The sequence below is a fragment of the Homo sapiens genome, chromosome 16 (assembly GCF_000001405.40).
Source record: "Homo sapiens chromosome 16, GRCh38.p14 Primary Assembly".
NCBI lineage: Eukaryota > Metazoa > Chordata > Mammalia > Primates > Hominidae > Homo > Homo sapiens.
In genome coordinates, this window is record NC_000016.10 from 1,483,374 (window position 1) to 1,493,103 (window position 9,730).

A 9,730-nucleotide genomic window follows, 5' to 3' on the forward strand; every position below is an offset into this window, starting at 1 on the left:
AACAGAGTGAGACTCTGTCTCAAAAAGAAAGAAAGAAAGAAAGAAAACACAAAACCAAGTGTGGACAAGGATGTGGAGAAACAGGAACCTTCATAGATTGCTGGCGGGAATGAAAAATGATGCAGCAACTTTGGAAAACAGTTGGGCAGTTTCTCTGAAAGCCTAGACATGGGCCGGGCCTTGGGGCTCACGCCTGTAATCCCAGCTACTCGGGAGGCTGAGGCAGGAGAATCGCTTGAACCCGGGAGGCGGAGCTTGCAGTGAGCTGAGATTGCGCCATTAACCCCAGCCTGGGCGACAAGAGTGAAACTCTGTCTCAAAACAACAGGAAGCCTAGACGTGAATTTACCATAAGACCGGCAATTGTACTGCTAGGTATCCACCAAAGCGAAAAAAATGCCCACACAAAGACTCGTCTGAGAGTGCTCAGAGCGACTTTATCCGCAGTAACCCCAGCTGGAAACTACCCAGATGTCCACCAGCGGATGAACAGATAAACGAACTGCGGTCCATCCATACAACGTGACATGCTTTGGCAACAACGCAGATGAAACGCTGAGACATGCCGCGGCGTGGACGAAGCTTGAAAACCTTGTGCTAATTAAAAGAAGCCAGACACAAACAGACAATTGCTTTTGGTTTATTTGTATGCAGTGTCCAGAACAGGCAAATCCATAGAGACAGAAAACAGGCAGGTGGCTGCCAGAGGCTGGGGAGGGTGCGGGGGACCCAGGAGCAATTGCTACACTTTTTAAGGAAGGGAACAGAAAGGTCCTAAAACTGGGTTGTTAACGATGGCTGTACAACTCTGTAAATTCACTACAAATCTTTGAACTATGCGCTTGAAACGTGAATTTTATGATATGTAAATTTTACCTCAATAAGGTTTTGTTTTGTTTTGTTTTTTGAGACAGGGTCTCACTCCGGTTGCCCTGGCTGGAGTGCGGTGGCGCGATCTCGGCTCACTGCAGCCTCAGCCTCCCAGGCTCAAGTGATTCTCCCACCTCAGCCTCCCAAGAAGCTGGAACTACAGGCACAGACCACCACACCTGGCTAAATTTTTTGTATTTTTTTTAAGTAGAGATGGGGTTTCCCCGTGTTAACCAGACTGGTCTCAAACTCCTGGACTCAAGCGATCCACCCGCCTCTGCCTCCCAAAGTGTTAGGATTACAGGCGTGAACCACGGCGCCAAGCCAATAAAGTTGTTTTAAAAGCATTGCCTGGGCCAGGCACCGTGGCTCACGCCTGCACTTTGGGAGGCCGAGGCAGGTGGATCACCTGAGGTCAGGAGTTCGAGACCAGCCTGACCAACAGGTTGAAACTCCATCTCTACTAAAAATACAAACATTAGAGCTGGGCATGGTGATGCACACCTATAGTCCCAGCTACTTGGAAGGCTAAGGCAGGAGAATCGCTTTATCCCAAAAGGTGGAGGTTGCAGTGAGCCAAGATTGCACTACTGCACTCCAGGCTGGGCAACAAGCAAGACCCCATCTCAAAAAAAAAGAAAGAAAAAGAAAAAAGAAATAAAAAATTTTCAGCCAGGCGCGTTAGTGTGTGCCTCTAGTCCCAGCTACTCAGGAGGCTGACGTGGGAGGATCAGCTGAGCTCGGGAGGTTGAGGCTGCAGTGAGCTATGATTGTGCCACTGTACTCCAGCCTGGGCGACAGTGTAAGACTCTGTCAGAAACAAAGAGAGAGAGAGATAAAGAGAGAAGAGAGAGAGAAAGAGGAAGAGGGAAGGAAGGAATGGAGGGAGGGAGGGAGGGAACGGGAAAGGAAGAAGGAAGGGAGGGAGGGAGGGGCCAGGCGTGGTGGCGGGCACCTGTAATCCCAGCTACTCAGGAGGCTGAGGCATGAGAATTGCTTGAATCTGGGAGGCGGAGGTTGCAGTGAGCCAAGATCATGCCATTGCCCTCCATCCTAGGAGACAGAGTGAGACTCCATCTCAAAAAAAAAAAAAAAAGATAAGAAAGAAAGGGGCCGGGCACAGTGGCTCACGCCTGTAATCCCAGCACTTTGGGAGGCCAAGGCTGGCAGACCACGAGGTCAGGAGATTGAGGCCATCCTGGCTAATATGGTGAAAACCCCTCTCTACTAAAAATACAAAAAAATTAGCCTGGCATGGTGGCAGGCGCTATAGTCCCAGCTACTTGGGAGGCTGAGGCAGGAGAATGGTGTGAACCCGGGAGGTGGAGCTTGCAGTGAGCTGAGATCGCGCCACTGCACTCTAGCCTGCACAACAAAGTGAGACTCCGTCTCAAAAAAAAAAAAAAAAAGAAAAAAAAGAAAGGAAGACAGTGCAGGAAGTAAGAATGCCGTGGTGATGGAAGAAACATGGGCTTGCAGGCCACCCTGACCCCAGGCTCTCTCTGTCTCTGTTCGCTCCCTGTCCACCTCCCCACTCCCCAGGATGGAATAGGCACCCCTATGTGAGGGCGCAGGTGTGCAAAGCCAGGACGGGTGGGGGTGGCCTTTGTAGAATGTGCTGGCGGGGAGGGCGGTGGCGGAATGTGGATGGGGGCATGCTGCCCTTGCTGGCCTCAGCCCCCGTGCGGCTCGGCCTCAGGGACAGCGTTCCAGGCAGGTGCAGTTGGCCCCCTGCACAAATCCGCCTGCTAGTGCAGCATTGGCCAGCGTCAGGATGGCACCTGTCGGGAACTCTTTCCCGATGGCAAGGTTTGCAACTTCCCCGGGAACCAGCGCCCGATCCCAGATAGCCAAGCCAGACATGCTCCCCACGAAGGCCTCGGAGCTGTCGAATCCGCCCCCCACGCTGTCTTGTTCCTGGCCCAGCACGAGGGACCCTCCGGGGGGGATCTCATAGCCCTCCCTGAAGCGGGAGCCGGTGGCCACCAGCCTGCGATCCACGTGGAGCCAGTACCTGCCCTGGGTGGACGTCCAGATGACACAGATGTGGTGCCACTGGCCGTCCAGCAGCAGCTGCAAGGGCAGCTCCCTGAAGGCCGGGTCCCCGATCACGAAGTGGATGGATCCGGGCAGCAGGGAGTCTCGGCCGTGCAGCACCAGCTTGTTGTCATTGTCCTCGGTGGCGTAGGACAGGAGGGTGCCCAGGCGGCCGGAGGCCGTGCGGACCCAGCTGCAGAAGGACAGGGCTCGCAGGGCAGTGACGAAACCAGGGCTGAGGAAGACCACGTTCCTGGTGGAGGCGTTTGGGAAAACGAGGGTGGGGCCCACGCCGCAAACTAGAAACAGAGGAGGGAGGGTCAACCCCTTGCAGGAGGCCGAGCAGAAGCATCCAGAAGCACACGTGCTGTGGGTGCCTGGCCTCCCACTCCCGGCTGCCACCCTTCACGGAGCACTGACTCTGCGCTGGCCCTGCCGATGGCTCCCCTGCAGCGTCTCCTTCACTCTCTTGATGGGATCACCCCAGTTCCACAGGCGGGAAGACTGAACATGAGGGCCGTACTCGGGAGTGGCGGGGTCCTGCTAGGAGCCCTAGCTGTCGGCCCACCCAGCTGAGCCAGCGCCCCTCACTGCCAGGGAGTCTCTGCAAATTTCATGACTCACAACAGCGCAGGTTTAGTGTTTCACATTTCTGGCGGTCACAAGGCCAACACGGTCTCCCAGGGCTCAAATCAGGTGTGGACAGGGCTGGTTCCTCTGGAGGCTCCAGGAGAAACCATCTCCCGCCCTTTCCAGCTTCCAGAGGCGCCTGCACCCTTCGGCGTGGGGCCTCCTCGTCTGTGCATCCCGCCACCTCTGCTTCTGCCCTCACGCCCTCCTCTGACTGTGTTCCTCCTGCCTCCCCTTAGAAAGCCTCTGTGATGACGGTGGGCCACCCCCCCCGATGATCCGAGACCCTCTCCCCATCTCCCGGCCCCTAACTGAACCTCTTTTGAGAAGCCTTTTCCAGGGGGCCTGGTCTAAGGAGGAGCTGGAGGGAAGCCTGGCCGTGAGCTGGGAGCCTGTGGTACTTACTCTCTCCTGGCACCTGGGGGGACCATGCCTGCTGCCGAGGGTCTTTTGGGGCAGTCCCACTGAGTACCCGATGGCTGCCTGAGGCTGGAGGCTCCCGCCTCCCTTGGAGAGGGGCCGAGGAGTCCTGTGGGGGGCCCCTGTGCTCAGAGGCAGCTCGGAGCTCCTGCCTGTCCCTCTGAAGCTTCAGGGAGGTCGGGCCCAGCTCCTCAGGCTGGGTTGGGGTTGGGACCAGGGCCGGCCCGAGGGCTGCAGTGCCAGGGTGGGCCACGGGCAGCCGCCCCTCCAGAGCAGCCAGCCTGGCGCCCTGGCTGTGGACGAGGCCCTCCAGGCGTGCCAGTGAGTCCTGCAGGGCGTCCCTCTGGGCCTTGTGTGCCTTCCTTTCCCGGGCCCGCTGCTGGCTCCTCTCGCCCAGGGTGAGGTCCAAGGCCCGCAGCCGCGTGTCTACTTTCCGGCCTCGGCGCTGCAGCTTCCTCACCCAGGCCTTGAGCTGCGCCAGCTCCCCCTGCACCGAGGCCTGTGACCGGTTGACTGCCTGAGCCACAGCCTGGCTCTCTTCCGCCAGGCTCCGGAACCGGACGTCAACGTTGTAGGACACGTTGTAGTTGCTGGCGATGTTCTGCAGGTGTGTCCAGGTCACCTCCTGGAATCTCCGGAACTGTAAGGAGGACACGGTGATGATGGGGCGGGCCGGGCCGGGCCGGCTGGGCGGGACGGGAAAGGCTTTGCCCTCTCAAGTTGGGAGCAGCGGCCGCGTGCCCGGGCCACGGCCAGCACTGGCTATCTGCCCACCGATTTGATCCCCACTGCGATGCCGTGAGATGTGGTGGGTGCCAGGGACTGACCCCAGGCCATGCAGCTGCACCACGTGGGGTGTGGACTCCAGGCCCACAGCTGGGGCTCTGATCCCCACCGCTCACCCCATAACCACCGGCAAGTCACTTTCCCTCGTGATTCCAGCTCCTGCCTGTGAGCAGGGGACGGCAGGGTGGCCTCATGAGTGCTTTACGAGGCCCAAACAGGAAGCACCCAGCGCAGGCCCGACAGGCCCACAGCACTCCGGAACTGTCCGTGGACCCCGCGTGGGAGTCCGGGAGGCCGTTCACACCGACTGCCACAAGGTGGACCTGTGACCTCCCAGTTTCCACTCCCCATGACACTACCCGGCCCCCATGGCCCCCAGTTCCCCTGACTCCCTTCCAGACCCCCTTCTAGCCTCTGGCCCCACCTGACCCCCACATGTTATGAGGCTTGTGTCCTGTGTGAGTGGAGCCCAGCTCAGCTCTTCCCTGGTGTCCAACTGCAGGTGAAATAATCTTCATGGATGGAAAGAGCGTCACACGCGGTGTTCGTGTCCGCCAAGCCCTGATGTTTACCAATCTGCTTCTGTAACATCCGTCTTCCATCTGCTGCCAATTTAAAAACCCGACTGCGCCATGTCAGGGGTATAACTTGCCTGTTCCTCCAGCCTACGGAGCCTCTCGAAAAACGGTTTCCTGGGCCCCACTGGGGCGGCTTCCTGCGATGAAGCCCCATGTAGATATATAGGCACAAAAACAAGGAAGAAAGACAAGGTCTTCCTCCACGAGCAACCCATCCGGAGAGACGGCAAGGCCCCAGCAGTCTCCCTCCAGCCGCAGGAGAGGGTGAAGGTGGCTCCGTGGGTCTGTCTTGTGTCTCGTCCCCCCAGCTCTCCTGTTGAGTGGTTTTCCTTCTTTGGCCCTGGCTGGATGTCAGGTTCTTCCTGCCGCCTCCATGAAAGGCATCTGCCTTCAAGCCAGTGGGCTCTGAGACTTGCAGGTTCCTAAGGAGACAAGCTTAAAACAGATGCAAACAGTTTCTTTGAAGAATCATTCAGCTGGGTGCAAGCCCGCGGGCAGGAGGCGATGGCTTTAACAGGAGCACATGGACTTGTGCTCCCGAGAAGTCGAAGCAAGACAGGGAACCCGACGGGGGCTGGGGAGTCAACAGAGCCAGGTCTGCACAGGCACCCATCACCCAGGCCGTGCACGGCTGCATCCTGGGAGGCCCCGTCTCTCTCAGTAAAGCAATGGAAATGTGACTGGGAGCCACCTTAATTAATTAATTATTATTATTATTTGAGATGGAGTCTCGTTCTGTTGCCTAGGCTAGAGTGCAATGGCGCAATCTCAGCTCACTGCAACCTCTGCCTCCCCGGCTCAAGCGATTCTCCTTCCTCAGCCTCCTGCCTCCTGAGGAGCTGGGATTACAGGCGTGCTTTACCATGCCCGGCTAATTTTAGTATTTTTAGTAGAGATGGGGTTTCACTATGTTGGTCAGGCTGGTCTCAAACTTCTGACCTCATGATTTGCCTGCCTCAGCCTCCCTAAGTGTTCGGATTACAGGCATGAGCCACTGCGCCTGGCCAATTAATTAATTTTTTTGACGGAGTCTTGCTCTGTCACCCAGGCTGGAGTGCAGTGGTGCGATCTCCGCTCACCACAAGCTCCGCCTCCTGGGTTTAACGGATTCTCCTGTCTCAGCCTCCCAAGTAGCTGGGATTACAGGTATGTGCCCCCACATCCGGCTAATTTTTGTATTTTTAGTAGAGACGGGGTTTCACCATGTGGGCCAGGCTGGTCTCAAACTCCCGACCTCAGGTGATCCACCCGCTGTAGCCTCCCGAAATGCTGGGATTACAGGCATGAGCCACCGCGCCCGGCCAATTTTTGTATTTGTAGTAGAGACGGGGTTGCCCCATGTGGGCCAGGCTGGTATTTTTGGTTACAGGTTGTGTACTGGCTTGAATGAGACCCTCCTAAAAACACACATAAGCCCCAGGCAGGGCCTTATGTGGAAAAGGTCTCTGCGGATGTCATGAAGGATTTTGAGATGAGACCATCCTGGATTATCCAGGTGGCCCTAAAGCCAATGACAGGGGTACAAGAGACAGAGGAGGAGGCACAGAGGACACGGCCTGTGAAGATGGGGCAGAGACTGGGGTGACGCTGCCACGAGGAACCCCCAGAGGCCCCAGAAGCTGGAAGAGGTAAAGTGGGAACCCCCAGCCCAGAGCCTTCGAGGGAGTGTGCACCTTCACTTCAAGACTTCCAGCCCCCAGAACTGTGATAGGACTCATTTCTGTTGTTTCAAGCCGCCCAGCTCATGGGAATAAGATCATCCACAAAGTTGTCCCACTGGGGGCATCCATCATTCCCAAGGTGGCATGAGCCAAGAGGGTGCCAGGCCAGGAAACCATCGGTGGCCCCCAGGCTCCCCTTGTCAAGCGTCAGAACACCATGGACATGGAGAAGATGCAGAAAGCATCGGAGAGAACATCCTGGGCACATGGACGGGGTTGGGGCCTTAGGCCCCGGGGGACTGGCAGCCACCAGGACAGCGACGCTGGTGCCACACACAGAGCGGCGGATCTCGCAGCTTCCAACTGACAGTGAGTTCCATTTATTTATGTATTTATTTTATTTCGGTAGAGAAGGGTCTTGCTATGTTGCCAGGCTGTTCTCAAACACTCCTGGGCTCAAGCAATCCTCCCAGCTCAGCCTAGCCAAAGTGCTGGGTTTACTGGCGTGAGCCACTGAGCCTGCCTGATTTCCATTTAAAGTTGTGGGTCGGGGCAGGGTGTGGTGGCTCTCTCCTGTAATCCCAGCACTTTGTGAGGTCAAGGTGGGCAGATCACTTGAGTCCAGGAGATCGAGACCAGGCTGGGCAACATGGCAAAACCCCGTCTCTACTAAAATTACAAAAATCAGCCAGACGTGGTGGTGTGCACCTGCAGTCCCAGCTACTTGGAAGGCTAAGGCGGGAGGATCGCCTGAGCCGGGGAGAAGGAGGTTGCAGTGAGCTGAAATCGCGCCACTACACTCCAGCCTGGGTGACAGAGCAAAGAATAAAGACATTTTCAGACACACAAAGGCTTGAGAAATTTGTCCTCCAAGCACCCACTGTTGGATGCGGGGCTTCAGGAAAAGAAGGGAATAGGGAAGGACGGAGCTGCCGTGGGCACTGGCGAGGGCTGGAACCCAGCAGCGGACGGAGGAGGAGTTTCCGGGATGATGGGATGCTGCCTGCCCCATATCCCATCCATCAGCTCTGCCTGCAGAGACATGCCCTGAGTTCAGCTGCTTCTCTACACCCCCATTCCGCCCCAAGCTCATCCTCACAATGGCCACCTAGTCCCCTCGTCCGTGTCGCCCCCCTACCGTCTGCTCTCCTAACTGCACCAGCATGGACCCGTGCCTTCAATGGCTCCAGGAGATGCCTGCCACACAAGCAAAATCTTAGTCCCTGCGAGGGCCTTCTGTGGCCTGGCCCACTGCCTCACTCCCTCCAGGCCTCACCCCTGCATATGCCTCCCTCGGCTCCACCTCCCGGGCAACAGTTGCGGCCTCAGGCCTTTGCACCTGCCGTTTTCCTGCCAGTGAGACTCTTCCCTGGCTGTCAACACATTCAGGGCTCTGCTCTAAGGTGTTCTGTTCAGAGCTCTCACCTTACGTAAGACAGCACCCACTGCTCTCTGGCTCTTTTCTTTTTTTTTTTTTTTGGAGGAGTCTCGCTCTGTCACCCAGGCTGGAGTTCAATGGCACAATCTCCACTCATTGCAACCTCTGCCTCCTGGGTTCAAGCAATTCTCCTGCCTCAGCCTCCCAAGTAGCTGGGATCACAGACACATGCCACCACGCCCAACTAATTTTTGTATTACTATTATTATTATTATTATTCTTTTTTTAGGAGAGACGGGGTTTCACCATGTTGGCCAGGCTGGTCTCGAACTCCTGAGCTTGTGACCCACCCGTCTCGGCCTCCCTAAGTGCTGGGATTAGAGGTGTGAACCACTGTGCCCGGCCACTGGCTCTTATTTTCTTACCCTACCGGTTTTTTATTTTGATTCCTTTTTTTTTTTTGAAACAGGGTCTTGCTCTGTTGTCCAGGCTGGAGTGCAGTGGCAGTGAACATGGCTCACTGCAGCCTCAACCTCCCGGGCTCAAGCCATCCTCCCACCTCAGCCTCCTGAGTAGCTGGGATCACAGGCTCATGACACCGTGCCTGGCTAATTTTTAAATTTTTTGTAGAGACAGGGTCTCACTATTTTTCCCATTCTTGAACTTCTGGGTGCAAACGATTCTCCCACCTCAGCTTCCCAGTGCTGGAATTACCGGCGTGAGCCACCGGGCCCGGCCTCTGCCAGTTTTTCTGCTCGAGGCCTGTCACCTGGCATATTTCGTATGTACTTTATCTGTTCCCCCGATAGGTGAGCAGGAACTTTGCATCATTTGTTGCTCAGAAGGCTTGGTGCACCAAGCAGGCATTTAATCAATGTTTGTTGAATGGATAACTGTTCCCCAGCTTTTCCCACATCCATCACTGCTGAAATGGCGCCTCTTTAGGTGTCTTCCTGGATTGCCCCCTCCACAAAGATGAAGCCCCCCACACTCCGCTGCGGTGTACAGAAGGCACTGCATGTTGTAAATGTTCAGTGTCCGGCTGTCCAGCCTGGCGGCCACAGCCAAAGGTAGTACCGAGCCCTTGAGATGGGGCTAGTGCTGCAAGGGAACTGGACTTATTTAACTTCAGTTAATTTACAGAGCCACATGCGTCTAGCGCTTACCCTACTGGTCGCAGTTTTTATTCCACGACCCGGCCTCATTTACGGAGCTGCAATTGTTCAGATCTGACATGATCTCAACTGCTCTTTTACTTCCTTGTGTACCGTGCGTTTCCCTTACTGGCCTCTGACCCTTGAAAGCAGAGCCTTACATCCGGGGAAGACGAGCCAGGCCTGTCTTGGTAAACATCTGCCTTAGAGCGAACG

General features: G+C 56.2%; 1 protein-coding gene across 2 annotated transcripts, besides 2 other annotated features; it reads right to left on the reverse strand.

Moving 5' to 3' along the window:
• Positions 895–1,097: a silencer, noted in NCBI's record as "fragment chr16:1534269-1534471 (GRCh37/hg19 assembly coordinates)". NCBI's record gives its function as "represses an EF-1alpha promoter that drives an FKBP-Casp9 reporter gene in an ReSE screen in K562 erythroleukemia cells {active_cell/tissue: K562}" and the evidence as "EXISTENCE:reporter gene assay evidence [ECO:0000049][PMID:32094911]".
• PTX4 (pentraxin 4) lies at positions 2,513–5,571 on the reverse strand. Of its 2 annotated transcripts, none has more exons than NM_001328608.2 (3): positions 5,396–5,571; positions 3,943–4,597; positions 2,513–3,206 (listed from the first exon to the last, which is right to left on the reverse strand). In NM_001328608.2, the coding sequence occupies exons 1-3, from the start codon at positions 5,534–5,536 to the stop codon at positions 2,566–2,568; spliced, it is 1,437 nt and encodes a 478-aa protein (NP_001315537.1). In that variant the 5' UTR covers positions 5,537–5,571; the 3' UTR covers positions 2,513–2,565. The 2 variants fall into 2 exon arrangements, with proteins under 2 accessions (NP_001315537.1, NP_001013680.1); NM_001013658.1 differs by lacking the exon at positions 5,396–5,571 and adding an exon at positions 4,969–5,094 and having other exon boundaries at positions 2,566–3,206.
• Positions 9,645–9,694: an enhancer, noted in NCBI's record as "active region_10226". NCBI's record gives its function as "activates an Ori minimal core promoter by ATAC-STARR-seq in GM12878 lymphoblastoid cells {active_cell/tissue: GM12878}" and the evidence as "EXISTENCE:reporter gene assay evidence [ECO:0000049][PMID:35858748]".

Excerpts from the sequence above, each read along its gene's own strand:
- PTX4 (NM_001328608.2), bottom strand. The coding sequence starts at position 5,536 with ATGGGTTGCTCGTGGAGGAAGACCTTGTCTTTCTTCCTTGTTTTTGTG. Across the intron at positions 4,598-5,395 it reads TCCGTAGGCTGGAGGAACAG|TTCCGGAGATTCCAGGAGGT; the intron begins GCAAGTTATACC and ends TCCTCCTTACAG. Across the intron at positions 3,207-3,942 it reads CCCCCAGGTGCCAGGAGAGA|TTTGCGGCGTGGGCCCCACC; the intron begins GTAAGTACCACA and ends CTCTGTTTCTAG.